This window comes from Homo sapiens, chromosome 10 (assembly GCF_000001405.40).
Source record: "Homo sapiens chromosome 10, GRCh38.p14 Primary Assembly".
Classification (NCBI taxonomy): Eukaryota; Metazoa; Chordata; class Mammalia; order Primates; family Hominidae; genus Homo; species Homo sapiens.
The window spans coordinates 64,010,985-64,029,076 of NC_000010.11; the positions used below are offsets into that span (position 1 = coordinate 64,010,985).

At 40.0% G+C, this 18,092-nt stretch overlaps 1 long non-coding RNA gene across 4 annotated transcripts in view; it reads left to right on the top strand.

The window, feature by feature from the left end:
* The window catches only part of LOC124902439 (uncharacterized), an 820,351-nt gene that overhangs the window by 138,396 nt on the left and 663,863 nt on the right, over positions 1-18,092 (top strand). Inside the window, exon 3 of one of the 4 annotated variants that reach the window (XR_007062164.1) lies at positions 11,101-11,251. The exons of the other annotated variants lie outside the window; for them this stretch is intronic. This is a non-coding gene — a long non-coding RNA (uncharacterized LOC124902439). The remainder of the gene's footprint in view (positions 1-11,100; positions 11,252-18,092) is intronic. 4 annotated transcript variants of the gene reach the window in all.

Here is an 18,092-nt window from a genome sequence, read left to right on the forward strand (position 1 = left end):
GGACATGCTATAATTATGCATGCTGTTTTATTGGATACTTCACTGAAACTGAGCTCAACTCATGGCTTCCTTTTTGTAGATGCTACTGGGCAGGCCAGCTGGGGTCAAGACAGGTGTCAAGAGAAGTCACTCATATTGCATCAATTATGAGTTACATCTATCTTGGCACAATCCATCAGATGACATTGTCTTGGGACAAAGGTTTGTCCATGGTGTTGATGGGCAGTTAGTGCCATAACCTCTTTCCTTTCCTCAGCGTCTTTAATAAATAACCCTTAACTTTATGGTCTAAGTGTTTCCTGCCTTTTGGGTGTATTAGGAAGGGTAGAGGTTAACTGTCTCATCCTATCTTTATGTGTTGAGTTAATCCAGGGCATACTGAGTTGTTCCTAAAATAAATAGATTGTATTTAATGATTAGAGGTCTTAGGATTCCATTTCAATAAGGCAGATTTCAAAGGAGTCCCTTACTTCTGTTCTCCTTACTTCCTCCTCTTAGCACAAGGTCAGTCTCTTTTTGCTATTCCTGTAAAGTTGAATTCAACCATTGAAATGATAGAGAATTCATGGACTGGCCAATTCTATCCAGGCCACTAAAGGAGAGTTTTCATGGGCTCTGGGAAGCATTTGGCTTTCTCTGCAGGCAACTCTGGAGAGAAAATTGGGGTTAAAGAGGAATCTTCCTTGTCTGTGAAAGAAGTTCTATATTTTAAAAAATTTATACAAATAATCTACTTGGCTGACAGAATTAATCATAAGGGGATTTAGTGAAGAGTGCTCAAGTTTTAGTTCAACTAAAAAGTACCCACTGTCCAATGGAGAGTTGAGCAAATCTGCTCCCTGCATTCTTTCATCAATTGACATCATAACTTTTTAATGGGTTTATTTTTGTCAAGCAGAGAAGCATAGAAATCCACTCTATTTTACTTGTCTCCAGCAGAGTGCATTTAGTAGAGCTCAGTGGTATGGTTTTGAAATTTTGAGAGGGGTGGGGAAGTGCTGAACGTTAATAAACATGAAGGTCAAGAAACCCAGAGTACAGAGGGTTTTGTTATTCTTTCAACATTTGTCACCAGATGCTTGTTTCAAATAAGTCTGGCTTTGAGAAATGGTTTTAAAGACTTGCTTAGATGTGACAGCTGCAAGAGTCCCTCGTGAACTCTGAAATGGCAATCTCAGCCCAGCTGCTCCTGTTTAGGGCTATCCAGAATGAAAATGCTATTAGCAACAGATTCATTTCTCCCCCTCTAATGGCTTTGATAAACATTGAGTGCCAAAGAAGAGAGTGAGTTTCTTGTATTTTTCCTCCTGTCTGGGTTTAACAATAGTCCTGCATTCTTGACTACCAAGGGTATGCAAAAGTATAATAAACATGGTAATGAGGAGCACTGCAGTGAACAAGCAAGCAGTAAGTACATGAAGGCTCTCAGTTTGTGGAGGGCTGAATTCCTGTGACTGCCTTGCAAGACAGACTCTGTGGAGGACGGGAAGAGAGGGCAATACACCGAATTAACTCATTTCGTTAAAATTCACACAGGAATTTGACTGCACATCTCATACATGTTGAGGCATACTTGGAGAATTTCCTTGAGGTAACTGACTGGTGTGAGGAGTGGTGCAGTTACTTTTAATAAAATTAAGTTTGATGCACTTCTTTGTGGATAGACTGTCTCATCACTTAGATTGTCAACATATTGAAGGCACGAGTCGTGGTTTATTGTGTTTTGTATCGTTCATAAATTCTAACATCATGTCATGTACCTCAATTTCTAAATTAATTTTCTTTTTGTTGAGTGACACATTGGGAAGTTACAGAACTTGGTACCAACTAAAAGGAAAACCATGTGAGGATGTGGGAGTGGGAACAGGGGTGGGGGGAGTGGCTACTTACTACCCACCAATGCCATATTTTGCCTGTGTGTACTTTGGTGTAGCGTCCAAGCAGGGACCCCAGGGGTAGTTTCTTGCTACCTGCACCCCTATCTTTCAAAATCCTACTTATCCTTCACTGTCCAGCTCAAATATCACCACCTCTAAGGAGCTGGGCCAAAATCCTCAGTTGAAATTAATTTTCTTCTCTCTATTCCTACGGCAGGGTTTCCAAACCTCAGCACTATTGCCGTCTTGTACCAGATAATTCTTCTTTTCTTTGGGGGGAGTGTCCTGTGCATTGTGTGATGTTCAGCAGCATTCCTAGTCTCTACCTTCTGGAAGCTAGCAGCACTTCTGCTGTCTCCAAATATTGCCAAATGTCCCCTGGGGATCAAAATTGCCCTTGGTTGAGAATCACTGTTCTATAGCAGTGCTATAGTCTGCATGTTTATGTCCCTCCCAAATTTATATGTTGAAATCTTTACTTCCAAGGTGATGCTATTAGGATAGTGAATCTTTGGGAAGTGATAAGGTCATGGGGGAAGAGCTCTCATGATTAGGATTAGTGCTTTCATAGAAGAGGCCCAAGAGAGAACGCTCCTTCTGTCCGCCATGTGGGATTAGAGGGAGAAGACCATTGTCTATGAACCAGGAAGCAGGCCCTTACCAACACCAACTCTGCTGGTGACTTGATCGTGGACTTTCCAGCCTCCAGAACTGTGGGAAAACATTTCCATTGTTTATAAGCCACCCAGTCTAAGATAGTTTGTTATAGCAGCCAAAAAGACCTAAGTCAAGCAGTTTCTTTGGATAGTCCTTACAGCAGTTGTCACATGTTCCTTTTTGTTAGTATATATACTTTCCTGTTAGATTTTAACCTCTTTGGGTGTAGAAAGCAACCTATAGTTTTTAATTTTGGTGAGGTCTCAGCATCACACTCTTAGCACATTTTTTTTTTATTGCTTGCATAACAATTTACCACAAATTTAGTGGTTTAAACAACACCCATTTATTAGCCCACAGTTCTGTAGGTCAGAAGTCTGGATCAGCTTGGCTAGGTTTTCTGCTCAGAGTCTCACAAGCTGTTGGCCAAAATGGGCTCTTACCTGGAGGCTCAGGGGAAGAATAGCCTTCCATGCTCATTCACGTTGACAGAATCCAGTTCCTTGCAGGTGTATGTCTAAGTTCCTTGCTGGCTGTCAGGTGGAGACACTCACTGCTCCCAGAAGCCATCTGTATTTCTTTTCATGTGTGCATGTCAAAATCGCCTAGTGCTTAAAATCCCTGACTTCCCCTTGTGGCTGCTCTTTTGCTACCACCCAGAGAAAGTTCTCTGCTTTTAAAGACTCCTGTGATTAGATTACCTCACCCAGATAATCTCTTCTCCTCAGGTCAGCTATGCCATATAACATGACAGATTCACAGGAGAGATATCCTATCACATTCACAAAGTTCCAAAGATTAGGTTTATTCCTTCTGTAATTGAGGTTTTTGGAGAGCAGGGTAGGTCTCTCAAACAGGTCCAAAATGGCTTGAAAGAGCAAGAAAAGGAGACTGGCTCAGAGTTCTTATTGTGGTTAGGAGGTGGAGCCCATGCAAGGGTTCCTGCATGGGAGGAGGGACTAGCATGGTTTCAGTCTCTTTTGGCACACCTGGGCTTTCTTATTGGCTTACTCAGATGTCCTGGTCCATTTCAGCTGCTGTAACAAAGCGTCATAGGCTGGATGGCTTATAAGCAACAGAAATATATTTCTTGCAGCTCTGGTGATTGGAAGTCCAAGCTCAGCATGCCAGCATGATCAGTTCTGATGAGGGCTCTCTTCCTGGTTCATGACTGCCAACTTGTAACAGTATCATTATATGCAGAATAGGAGTTAGTAAGCTCTATGTCCTCTTCTTATAAGAGCACTAATTCCATTCATGAGGGCTCCACCCTCATAACCTAATTATGCCCCAAATACTCCACCTTCTAATATCATCACATTGGGATTAGGGTTTCAACAGATAAATATTGTGGGGAATCAACACTGAGTCCATTGTACCAGATGTGGAGCAGAAGGCAGTGAGGGAGGGGTGAAGCTTAAAAGCTATCATTAGTCAAACATCCAAAAAATGGAGTCAGACTCCTTGGAACATAACTGGTCATTTTATAAGGCACTGAACAGAAATTGTTTTTCAGACTTTTTTTTGTTTTTTGAGACAGAGTCTTACTCTACCCCAGGCTGGATTGCAGTGGTGCGATCTCAGCTCACTGCAACCTCCGCTTCCCAGGTTCAAGCAATTCTCCTGCCTCAGCCTCTCGAGTAGCTGGGATTATAGGCGTCTGCCACTGTGCCTGGCTAATTTTTGTATTTTTAGTAGAGACAGGGTTTCACCATCTTGGCCAGGCTGGTTTTGAACTCCTGACCTTGCCTCGGCCTCCCAAAGTGCCGGGATTACAGGCATGAGCCACCGCACCCGGCCAGACTTTTATTTTTATTTATTTTATTTTATTATTATTATACTTTAAGTTTTAGGGTACATGTGCACAATGTGCAGGTTTGTTACATATGTATACGTGTGCCATGTTGGTGTGCTGCACCCATTAACTCGTCATTTAGCATTAGGTATATCTCCTAATGCTATCCCTCCCCCCTTCCCCCACCCCACAACAGTCCCCGGAGTGTGATGTTCCCCTTCCTGTGTCCATGTGTTCTCATTGTTCAGTTCCCACCTACGAGTGAGAACATGCGGTGTTTGGTTTTTTGTCCTTTTGATAGTTTGCTGAGAATGATGGTTTCCAGTGTCACCCATGTCCCTACAAAGGACATGAACTCATCATTTTTTATGGCTGCATAGTATTCCATGGTGTATATGTGCCACATTTTCTTAATCCAGTCTATCATTGTTGGACATTTGGGTTGGTTCCAAGTCTTTGCTATTGTGAATAATGCCGCAATAAACATACGTGTGCATGTGTCTTTATAGCAGCATGATTTATAATCCTTTGGGTATATACCCAGTAATGGGATGGCTGGGTCAAATGGTATTTCTAGTTCTAGATCCCTGAGGAATCACCACACTGACTTCCACAATGGTTGAACTAGTTTACAGTCACACCAACAGTGTAAAAGTGTTCCTATTTCTCCACATCCTCTCTAGCACCTGTTGTTTCCTGACTTTTTAATGATTGCCATTCTAACTGGTGTGAGATGGTATCTCATTGTGGTTTTGATTTGCATTTCTCTGATGGCCAGTGATGATGAGCATTTTTTCATGTGTTTTTTGGCTGCATAAGTGTCTTCTTTGAGAAGTGTCTGTTCATGTCCTTCACCCACTTTTTGATGGGGTTGTTTTTTTCTTGTAAATTTGTTTGAGTTCATCGTAGATGTTTGTTTTTTTCTTGTAAATTTGTTTGAGTTCATTGTAGATTCTGGATATTAGCCCTTTGTCAGATGAGTAGCTTGCGAAAATTTTCTCCCATTTTGTAGGTTGCCTGTTCACTCGGATGGTAGTTTCTTTTGCTGTGCAGAAGCTCTTTAGTTTAATTAGATCCCATTTGTCAATTTTGGCTTTTGTTGCCATTGCTTTTGGTGTTTTAGACATGAAGTCCTTGCCCATGCCTATGTCCTGAATGATATTGCATAGGTTTTCTTCTAGGGTTTTATGGTTTTAGGTCTAACATGTAAGTCTTTAATCCATCTTGAATTCATTTTTGTATAAGGTGTAAGGAAGGGATCCAGTTTCAGCTTTTTACATATGGCTAGCCAGTTTTCCCAGCACCATTTATTAAATAGGGAATCCTTTCCCCATTGCTTGTTTTTCTCAGGTTTGTCAAATATCAGATAGTTGTAGATATGCAGCGTTATTTCTGAGGGCTCTGTTCTGTTCCATTGATCTATATCTCTGTTTTGGTACCAATACCATGCTGTTTTGGTTACTGTAGCCTTGTAAGATACTTTGAAGTCAGGTAGTGTGATGCCTCCAGCTTTGTTCATTTGGCTTAGGATTGACTTGGCGATGCAGGCTCTTTTTTCGTTCCATATGAACTTTAAAGTAGTTTTTTCCAATTCTGTGAAGAATGTCATTGGTAGCTTGATGGGGATGGCATTTTATCTATAAATTACCTTGGGCAATATGGCCATTTTCACGATATTGATTCTTCCTACCCATGAGCATGGAATGTTCTTCCATTTGTTTGTATCCTCTTTTATTTCCTTGAGCAGTGGTTTGTAGTTCTCCTTGAAGAGGTCCTTCACATCCCTTGTAAGTTGGATTCCTAGGTATTTTATTCTCTTTGAAGCAATTGTGAATGGGAGTTCACTCATGATTTGGCTCTCTGTTTGTCTGTTATTGGTGTATAAGAATGCTTGTGATTTTTGCGCATTGATTTTGTATCCTGAGACTTTGCTGAAGTTGCTTATCAGCTTAAGGAGATTTTGGGCTGAGACAATGGGGTTTTCTAGATATACAGTCATGTCATCTGTAAACAGGGACAATTTGACTTCCTCTCTTCCTAATTGAATACCCTTTATTTCCTTCTCCTGCCTGATTGCCCTGGCCAGAACTTCCAACACTATGTTGAATAGGAGTGGTGAGAGAGGGCATCCCTGTCTTGTGCCAGTTTTCACAGGGAATGTTTCCAGTTTTTGCCCATTCAGTATGATATTGGCTGTGGGTTTGTCATAGATAGCTCTTATTATTTTGAGATACGTCCCATCAATACCTAATTTATTGAGAGTTTTTAGCAGGAAGGGTTGTTGAATTTTGTCAAAGGCCTTTTCTGCATCTATTGAGATAATCGTGGTTTTTGTCTTTGGTTCTGTTTATATGCTGGATTACATTTATTGATTTTCGTATGTTGAACCAGCCTTGCATCCCAGGGATGAAGCCCACTTGACTGTGGTGGATAAGCTTTTTGATGTGCTGCTGGATTCAGTTTGCCAGTATTTTATTGAGGATTTTTGCATCGATGTTCATCAAGGATATTGGTCTAAAATTCTCTTTTTTTGGTGTGTCTCTGCCCAGCTTTGGTATCAGGATGATGCTGGCCTCATAAAATGAGTTAGGGAGGATTCCCTCTTTTTCTATTGATTGGAATAGTTTCAGAAGGAATGGTACCAGTTCCTCCTTGTACCTCTGGTAGAATTCGGCTGTGAATCCATCTGGTCCTGGACTTTTTTTGTTTGGTAAGCTATTGATTATTGCCACAATTCCAGAGCCTGTTATTGGTCTATTCAGAGATTCAACTTCTTCCTGGTTTAATCTTGGGAGGGTGTATGTGTTGAGGAATTTATCCATTTCTTCTAGATTTTCTAGTTTATTTGTGTAGAGGTGTTTGTAGTATTCTCTGATGGTAGTTTGTATTTCTGTGGGATCGGTGGTGATATCCCCTTTATCATTTTTTATTGCATCTATTTGATTCTTCTCTCTTTTCTTCTTTATTAGTCTTGCTAGCGGTCTATCAATTTTGTTGATCCTTTCAAAAAACCAGCTCCTGGATTCACTAATTTTTTGAAGAGTTTTTTGTGTCTCTATTTCCTTCATTTCTGCTCTGATTTTAGTTATTTCATGCCTTCTGCTAGCTTTTGAATGTGTTTGCTCTTGCTTTTCTAGTTCTTTTAATTGTGATGTTAGGGTGTCAATTTTGGATCTTTCGTGCTTTCTCTTGTGGGCATTTAGTGCTATAAATTTCCCTCTACACACTGCTTTGAATGTGTCCCAGAGATTCTGGTATGTTGTGTCTTTGTTCTCGTTGGTTTCAAAGAACATCTTTATTTCTGCCTTCATTTCGTTATGTACCCAGTAGTCATTCAGGAGCAGGTTGTTCAGTTTCCATATAGTTGAGCGGTTTTGAGTGAGTTTCTTGTCCTGAGTTCTAGTTTGATTGCACTGTGGTCTGAGAGACAGTTTGTTATAATTTCTGTTCTTTTACATTTGCTGAGGAGTGCTTTACTTCCAACTATGTGGTAAATTTTGGAATAGGTGTGGTGTGGTGCTAAAAAAAATGTATATTCTGTTGATTTGGGGTGGAGAGTTCTGTAGATGTCTATTAGGTCTGCTTGGTGCAGAGCTGAATTCAATTCCTGGGTATCCTTGTTAACTTTCTGTCTCGTTGATCTGTCTAATGTTGACAGTGGGGTGTTAAAGTCTCCCATTATTATTGTGTGGGAGTCTAAGTCTCTTTGTAGGTCACTAAGGACTTCCTTTATGAATCTGGGTGGTCCTGTATTGGGTGCATATATATTTAGGATAGTTAGCTCTTCTTGTTGAATTGATCCCTTTACCATTATGTAATGGCCTTCTTTGTCTCTTTTGATCTTTGTTGGTTTAAAGTGTGTTTTATCAGAGACTAGGATTGCAACCCCCGCCTTTTTTTGTTTTCCATTTGCTTGGTAGATCTTCCTCCATCCCTTTATTTTAAGCCTATGTGTGTCTCTGCACGTGAGATGGGTTTCCTGAATACAGCACACTGATGGGTCTTGACTCTATCCAATTTGCCAGTCTGTATCTTTTAATTGGAGCATTTAGCCCATTTACATTTATAGTTAATATTGTTATGTGTGTATTTGGTCCTGTCATTATGATGTTAGCTGGTTATTTTGCTTGTTAGTTGATGCAGTTTCTTCCTAGCCTTGATGGTCTTTACATTTTGGCATGTTTTTTCAGTGGCTGGTACCGGTTGTTCCTTTCCATGTTTAGTGCTTCCTTCAGGAGCTCTTTTAGGGCAGGTCTGGTGGTGACAAAATCTCTCAGCATTTGCTTGTCTGTAAAGTATTTTATTTCTCCTTCACTTGTGAAGCTTAGTTTGGCTGGATATGAAATTCTGGGTTGAAAATTCTTTTCTTTAAGAATGTTGAATATTGGCCCCCACTCTCTTCTGGCTTGTAGAGTTTCTGCCAAGAGATCAACTGTTAGTCTGATGGGCTTCCCTTTGTGGGTGAGCCGACCTTTCTCTCTGGCTGCCCTTAACATTTTTTCCTTCATTTCAACTTTGGTGCATCTGACAATTATGTGTCTTGGAGTTGCTCTTCTCGAGGAGTATCTTTGTGGCGTTCTCTGTATTTCCTGAAACTGAATGTTGGCCTGCCTTGCTAGATTGGGGAAGTTCTCCTGGATAATATCCTGCAGAGTGTTTTCCAACTTGGTTCCATTCTCCCTGTCATTTGCAGGTACACCAATCCGACGTAGATTTGGTCTTTTCACATAGTCCCATATTTCTTGGAGGCTTTGTTCATTTCTTTTTATTCTTTTTTCTCTAAAATTCTCTTCTTGCTTCAATTCATTCATTTCATCTTCCATCACCAAGACCCTTTCTTCCAGTTGATCGCATCGGCTCCTGAGGCTTCTGCATTCGTCACATAGTTCTCGAGCCTTGGCTTTCAGCTCCATCAGCTCCTTTAAGGACTTCTCTGCATTGGTTATTCTAGTTATCCATTCGTCTAATTTTTTTTCAAAGTTTTTAACTTCTTTGCCATTGGTGTGAATTTCCTCCTGTAGCTTGGAGTAGTTTGATCGTCTGAAGCCTTCTTCTCTCAGCTCATCAAAGTCATTTTCCGTCCAGCTTTGTTCCGTTGCTGGTGAAGAGCTGCGTTCCTTTGGAGGAGGAGAGGTGCTCTGCTTTTTAGAGTTTCCAGTTTTTCTGCTCTGTTTTTTCCCTGTCTTTGTGGTTTTATCTACTTTTGGTCTTTGATGATGGTGACGTACAGAAGGGGTCTTGGTGCAGATGTCGTTTCTGTTTGTTAGTTTTCCTTCTAACAGAAGGACCCTCAGCTGCAGGTCTGTTGGAGTTTGCTAGAGGTCCACTCCAGATCCTGTTTGCCTGGGAATCAGCAGCGGTGGCTGCACAACAGCGGTGGCTGTAGAACAGCAGATCTTGGTGAACCACAAATGCTGCTGCCTGATCGTTCCTCTGGAAGTTTTGTCTCAGAGGAGTACCCGGCCGTGTGAGGTGTCAGTCTGCCCCTACTGGGGGGTGCCTCCCAGTTAGGCTGCTCTGGGGTCAAGGACCCACTTGAGGAGGCAGTCTGCCCGTTCTCAGATCTCCATCTGTGTGCTGGGAGAACCTCTACTCTCTTCAAAGCTGTCAGACAGGGACATTTAAGTCTGCAGAGGTTACTGCTGTCTTTTTGTTTGTCTGTTCCCTGCCCCCAGAGGTGGAGCCTACAGAGGCAGGCAGGCCTCCTTGAGCTGTGGTGGGCTCCACCACCCAGTTCGAGCTTCCAGGCTGCTTTGTTTACCTAATCAAGCCTGGGCAATGGCAGGCGCCCCTCCCCCAGCCTTGTTGCCGCCGTGCAGTTTGATCTCAGACTGCTGTGCTAGCAATCAGCGAGACTCCGTGGGAGTAGGACCCTCCGAGCCAGGTGCGGGATATAATCTCCTGGTGTGCCGTTTTTTAAGCCCATTGGAAAAGTGCAGTATTAGGGTGGGAGTGACCCTATTTTCCAGGTGCTGTCTGTCACCCCTTTCTTTGACTAGGAAAAAGGGAACTCCCTGACCCCTTGCACTTCCCGAGTGAGGCAATGCCTCGCCCTGCTTCGGCTCACGCCCGGTGCGCTGCACCCACTGTCTTGCACCCACTGTCTGGCACTCCCTAGTGAAATGAACCTGGGTACCTCAGATGGAAATGCAGAAATCACCTGTCTTCTGTGTTGCTCACGCTGGGAGCTGTAGACTGGAGCTGTTCCTATTTGGCCATCTTGGCTACACCCCCAGCGGCCAGACTTTTAAATGACAAAGTCAACTATGTGTCTTTTTCAATCAAGTCCTTTTCATTTGTTTCCTTAGTATATTCTTAAGTAATAATGAGCTATTACTCCAGTTATCAGGTGTTTTCCTTTTGTTTTTAGTTTGGACTGTAGTGAACTCAGGGCTCCCCCTTCCTCCATTTTAAGCTAGTGAAAGAACAGAGGTCTGGCAACAGTTGGTATCCATAGTCACAGTGTGGTCACTGCCTCCAACTAGTGAGATGGCTGGAGCTTCTCTTTTATAAGTGATTGATGGCGGTGACACCCAATTTCTGCTTTTACTGGGGACATTGAGAGATGGGCTTCCTGTAATCACTAATGGAAATATTACAGGTAGCAACTATGCATAGTTTATCTGAAAGAAACGATATATTTTGTTTGGCTTTTTTTTTGCTTCAATTTCATTATTAATGTCTTAAATTAGTTTTAGGGATGAAATGATCAAGGTCTTGTGGTACCATGCTCTAAAAACACAAGTGACAATTGCATCCATTTCTCCTCAGATAAAGGAGGGAGCGTCACATGGGAAATAGTCAAGAACTGCCTCCAATTTGCAGCTCAGGATTTCCAAGAGTCCTCCTGGCACAAAGTATGAAGAGCAGACTCAAAATTAAAAATGGTCTTGATAATTGGATGATGGACAGAAGCCAACAAGTATGTAGTGGGATATTAGGAAAAACTTCTCAAGGGACCTATGGAATGATTTGTCTTTTAATGAGAATAGAGGATACTAATCTTATAAAAGCTTTTCCTTCAAAAGAGTGTTACCTTTTCACTTAAATATGTCTTTATGTCTACAATGAGGGAAGACAGACCACTTATAACAGTGCCATGCTTGAAGTTCCTTTTGTTTTGGAGTTGGAATTCTGTGTGCAAGCACAATTGAATTGTGTGTAGGCAATGAGGATTCTCATCCAAAGAGATTGTGTGTGCGTGTGTGTGTTTGTGTGTATGAGTGTGTGGTGCTTGGTTGGTTGATATAAACCTGGATCCAAAGGTGGCCTACTCTAAATTAAGTTGACATGCCAGAACTTCTTGGATATACTAGAGATCATTGGTCCTTAAAGTGTGGCCCAGAAACCCCTGAGAGTCCCTAAATCCATTTCAGAGGCTCTGTAAGTTCAAAGTGATTTTTATAATAATACTAAGATATTATTTTCCTTTGCACTGTGTTGTTATTTGCACTGATAGCTCAACAAAAGTGGTGGGTAAATGTCTAGCTGCTTAACATGAATCAAAGCAGTAGCTCCAAACTGTACTTGTGATCACTGTATTTTTCATTCCCATGCTCTTGTAGTTTTTTTTTTTTAAAGCCAGTTTTACTTAAGAATGCTCTTAAAAAAAAAAGAATGCTCTTAATAAAACAGTAAAAAATTAATTTTATCAAATATCAAGCCTTGAGTTTCTGACTTTTGGCTTCAGACATAAGTACAAGAGATTTACAGAGACTGTTTAGCTCTCACAATTGTGAAAGTAAAATCCTAGTAATAGATCTCTTATCTTATGTATCATTTCTAGTGGTTCAGTTTCTCTGATGGAACCCTGAGTGATACAAATCTTAAAGAGGGAGCTTGATAGTTATCTTCAAATATTTTCATGGTTATTTTTTGGCCAAAAAAGCAATTTTATTTTGTGTTGATTCAAAGTTTAGAATGCAGTTCCCACAGTAGAGTGAGAGACAGGGTGGTCTTTGGACTTGGAGATGGACTAATTTGGTTTAGATTCCAGCTTTGCCAGTCACTTGCAGCTTTAGTTTTCTTATGTGTAAAATGGGGATAGTAATTGTACCCATTTCATAGTAAAGAGAATTAAATGGGTTAATATATGGAAGGTACTTTAAATAGTGCCTGTCATAAACTAAGCACTATTAAAGGTTCTGTTAAAATTCTTAAAAGTTACAGGGAAATAGATTTTGCCTCTTTAGGAATTTTTAAATCATTATAGCTGTTCAATAAAGTACAGTTGATCCTTAAACAACATGAGGGTTTGGGTGCTGACTCCCTGCAGAGTCAAAATCCATGTATAACTTTTGACTCCCTAAAAACTTAACTACTAATATCCTACTGTTGACCGAAAGCCTTATTGATAACATAAGCAGTCAATTAACATATTTTGTATGTTATATATATTATGACTGTATTCTTACAATAAAGTAAGCAAGAGAAAAGAAAATATTACTAAAAATCATAAAGAAGAGAAAATATATTTACTATTCATTAAGTGGAAGTGGATTATTGTAAAGATCTTCAGCCTCACGGTCTTCATGTTGAGTAGGCTGAGAAGGAGGAGGAAGAGGAGGGGTTGGTTTTGCTGTCTTGGGTGACAGAGGCAGAGGTGGTGGAGGTGGAAGGGGATGTAGGAGAGGTAAGCACACTCGGTGTAACTTTTATTGAAAAATATCAGAGTATACGTGGACCTTGCAGTTCAAACCCATGTTGTTCAAGGGTCAGCTGTAGTGCAATGCCTTGCAAAGAACAAAGCCTCCCTTGACTCTCACCAGGGAGGCAAGACGGAAAAGAAATATGACTTTTTAGTACAAAGACTTAATTCAGCCATTTGTTAGTTGTGTCATCACAGCAAGTCATTTAATCTCTCAAAATCTCCATGTCATCATCTACAATATAATTTAAGGGAAACAACATGATTAAAGGTGCTTTATTATCTACAAAGTGACCTACAAATGTCAGTCCTTGTTATTTCCCTGAAATCTTTGAAGCAGAATCTGGTTGAGCTTCTCTTTGTCAATGACACCAGAGAAAGGATTCTTGTATTGAAGAGACGTTTGGACTAGGTAATCCCTGTGGCTTTCTCCAGCTCTGAGAGTCTATGAACTGTTTCTCAAGTAGCCTGCCTGTTGAGGTTTGTGATCATACTAAAGGAATTAATAAGGGAAATTTAAATATATATATATATATATTATTTTTTTTTTGCCAGAGGGAATGAGATAAAGCTGTACTAAATAAGGAAATTAAATCAAGCAATCAGTTTGGAAGGTTGGCTCTTTCCACATATTATTGTCCCAATTTTAGTTGTGGTTGTTATTTGTTATTTGCGGAGGTCCTGCTTCATTTGAATTACAGCCAGTTCTACTTGAAAGTGTGCAATTCCATCTTCCATACTAAGGTTTAGGATAATTTGACTTTCTCGTTTTCTTTCTCAGAGCCTCAGATTGTTATGGTTAAAAATAAAGTATTTATCTTCAGTTTAGAAATCTAATAAAACTTTGACAGGAATATGAAATGGTATAAAGCATCTCTTCAACAAATCCATCTCAATAACACTTTCTGACAATCAAAAAACCTTCAGGGCCACCCCTTAATGACTTCTAAAGTCTTAACGGATTTCTACTAAGGATGCGAGAATGACTGAAAATGGGTTTTAAAGTAGTGCTAACTTGTTTCTTTTAAAATCCCTCTCTGATTTGGGTTTTGAAAAGGGTTTGAGATATGCGTCCATTAAAATGTAGACTGATGAAGTGATTACGATAATGAGAGCATTACTTGCCTCTGGTTTGGAATTACTAGAGAACTGCTCCAAGGTAAAAGTTTTGTAAAGAAAAAAAAGTGTTTCTGAGAGACTTAGAGTCAAGCTGCAGAGGAAAGATGGTAGCTAGAAATCTACCTTCTAAGACCTGGGTGATTGTCTACAATGATGTGAGGCCTTGGGTATCCTAAGGTAGATCTAACCGAAAGTGGGCAAGTTTAAAAGATGCAATGTTTCTTAATGCCTGGTCACACTGTAAGAGTTAACTAGGGTAGATTTTCAAGATCATGAATTGCCAGACCTCTGTCTTCAAGATTCTGATTTAAAAGATCTGGAATATAGACTAGAAATTTTATAAAATGTATATGAATATAAATTTCCAGGTGATTCTGATGATTGGCAATGTGTATAAACCATTGGAATGATGTACTCCTCAGGATCTTAGGTTTACATAGAAAAGAATGCAATTTTCAGAGTTAATTTTAAGAACTGAGTTGTTGTGGGTGATCTTGATGCATTTGAATCTTGATTGCTAGTCTTGAGGGTCTTAGGGAAGTAAGAACTAGTTGTCAACTCTGACTGATAATTAATTGTAAACTGAAGGGAATTCAGAAAATGGGTAAGTTTCTGAGAGTTAGTTACATTTTTCTGGGTCCCCGTGATTATAGAGAACAGTCTTCTGTCCACATTTGATAGACAGAACTAAATGTAACTTAAACATGTACCTTCTGATTTGCTGAGGTATGGGAACACTGTTAGGAAAATAGGCCCAGATTTTTGATCCAAGGTTGTCTTATAAAATCTTATTTAATATTTTCATCATATAAAACTGTATTGTTGGGAGGCTGAGGTGGGTGGATCACAAGGTCAGGGGTTCGAGACCAGCCTGACCAACATGGTGAAACCCCGTCTCTACTAAAAATACAAAAATTAGCTGGGCATGGTGGTGGGTGCCTGTAATCCCAGCTACTCAGGAGGCTGAGGCAGGAGAATTGCTTGAACCCGGGAGGTGGAGGTTGCAGTGAGCCGAGATTGCCCCACTGCACTCCAGCCTGGGCGACAGAGCGAGACTCCGTCTCAAAAAAAACCCAAAAAAACTGTATTGTATTTATTGGTGTTTGGCGTTTGGGTCTTGGGTTTGGTATGCAACAAAACTTAATAGGTGTTTAATACATATTTGTTGAATGAATGAATTAATTAATGAAATATAACTTGTGTTCGCACTCAATGTACCATAGGTTCACTCTGCTTTATCAAATCTATGATCCTAATTTATTATAAATCATTTTTGTAAATACAATATTTACAAGTAATTTAAAAACCTTAAATGTGTTCAGAGAATTTATTGTTAAAGGTTATCTGGCAATAAATTCTTCCTGAAGGGAAACAGTTTCATGCAATGGAAATGACATTTTCTAATACACCTATAGGGCAAGAAATACATTTTGAGTATTTATTTTCTTAAAAGATAAAGGATATACTTTAGAGATTTGAATGTAACTCTTCAGGTAATATTGGCATAGGTTAGTAGGAGAAGCTGCAGTTGCTAATGGGTCACAGTAGTTTAGAGTGAAGAACAGAAAATAGGAAGCTTGGAAGATAACGTAAGAGAAAAGTATCTTAGCATTCTGCTTCTAAAGTTCTCTGATGCCGGGCTTAAATCTTGAGTCCCTTAGTTTTCTGGGGTAGAAGCTATTAGTGCTTACCCATATCTGCCTTTTTTTCTACTGGCCTCACAGTGGGAGCCCATTTCCCACTCTGCCCTGCAATTAGGTGTGGTGGTGACAGGGTTGAGTTCTGGCCAATAGGATGTGAGTGGAAGCTGTGTGCATCAGTCTAAGCCTTTTGGCTTAGAACAGGTGTCGTCTTTGGCCTGACCCAGCGTAACTTCTGCTGAGAATGGCCCCATTCCCTTCCTCCATCTGCAAGCTGCATGCAGGGCATCAGGCAGAAGACTCCAAGGCTCCTTCCATCTTGTGATCCTGCCATTCCCTAGAGTCTCAGACGTGAAATGTGAGATAAACCTCTACTGTGAAAGCCATTGAATTATTGGGATTTTTCATTACTGTGGTAAGCTTAGCCTGGCTTACATAGTTTCTAAGCACAAGGACAAAAATATGAAATTGGGTCCCTTTAGAAATTCACAGAGGTAGTATGCAACAGTGGTTTAACACAGGCATGAGCTTTGAAAACATAAGGAGTTTACTAAAGTCAAGTCTACTATCATCTCTATTGTGTAGCTATGTAGCTTAGGGTCAGTTACTTACCTTCTTTAGGCCTCAGTTTCTTCATCTCTAAAATGGAGATAATTTAAAAAAAAGACATCCATGTTGCCAATAAACATATGGAAAAATGCTCAACATCACTAATCATCAGAGAAGTGCAAATCAAAACTACAATGAGATACCATCTCATACCAGTCAGAATGGCAATTATTAAAAACTTAAAAAAACAAAAATAAAAACAGGTGCTGGCAAGGCCGTGGAGAAATGGGAATGCTTACATACTGCTGGTGGGAATGTAAATTAGTTCAGCCACCATGGAAAGCAGTTTGGAGATTTCTTAAAGAACTTAGAATAGAGCTACCATTTAACCCACCAATCCCATTATTGGATATATTCCCAAAGGAAAAGAAATCTGTCTATCAAAAAGAAACATGCATTCATATGTTCCTCAAAGCACTATTTATAATAGCAAAGACATGAAATCAAGCTAGGTGCCCATCAACAGTGGATTTGATAAAGAAAAGGTGACACATATATACCATGGAACACTACGCAGCCATAAAAAAGAACAAAATCATGTCCTTTGCAGCAACGTGGATGCAGCTGGAGGCCATCATCCTAAGCAAATTAATGCAGAAACAGAAAACCAAACACCATGTGTTCTCACTTGTAAGTGGGAGCTAAACATTGGATACACATAGACATAAAGATGCAAACTACCAGAGTGGGGATGAAGGAAGGGGAGCAGGGGTTGGAAAACTACCTATTGGGTACTATTCTCACTACCTGAGTGACGCAGGATCAATCATATTACACACCTCAGCATCATGCAATAGACCAATGTAACAAACCTGCTCATGTTCCGCCGAATCTAAAATAAAAGTTGAAATGAAAAATAAATAAAACGGAATTTTTTTGTGTGTGTGAGATGGAGTCTCTGTCACCCAAGCTGGAGTGCAGTGGCACGATCTCCACTCAATGCAACCTAAAATGGAGGTATTTATAGTACTCCCTCAAAGGATCATTGTGAGAATTGAATGAAACTATTAATAAAGTTAGCTATTATTATTAGAAATGACAATAACTACATTTTAATTTATTCAAGTGCATTTTGTAAGTGCTTCCTACGTCAGGGCAAGGAATTTGGAAAGGATAGAAAGAGTAGCAGGACCCATTTTTGCCTTCAAAGAGTCCCCAGTCTAGGAAGATAATTGGAGGACAAACCAATAATTACAGTATATGAATGGTGTTGTGAGTCTGTAAGCTTTTAAATCTGATGATTTAAAAGATAATATATTCATATGCTAAAGATATGCATCAGTAGGTGGAGATAGAAAATATTCTTTTCAATATGTATATATATAAATAATTTAAAAATATTTTTAAATTTAAATTTAAGGATTTTTTTTTTTTCAAACTGGCAATGAATTTACCAGCCAGGCTGCTTTTCTGGAAGTCAATTAGCCCTTCAACGAATGCTAAAAGTGAAGGTTTGGTCATTTCAGGGCAATATTTGGAGCCTTGTAGACAACTTCAGATGATTAATTTATTCTAACAGTGAATAAGAGAGGTGTGCTGCAGTGTGTCCTCAAGGCTGACTTTTTAGTGATAATTTTACTCCGTCAATTACCTCTTTTTCTCTCTGTCAATTTCATCCCCACCAAGCCATCACAGTACACAGAGGATAACGCAGGTGGGTGATAAAATATAGGGTTTGGGAATCTATCCATGCCTTTTCAGGCTCTGGGAATTTCACCATGAAAAGGGATTGGCACAATGAAACACGA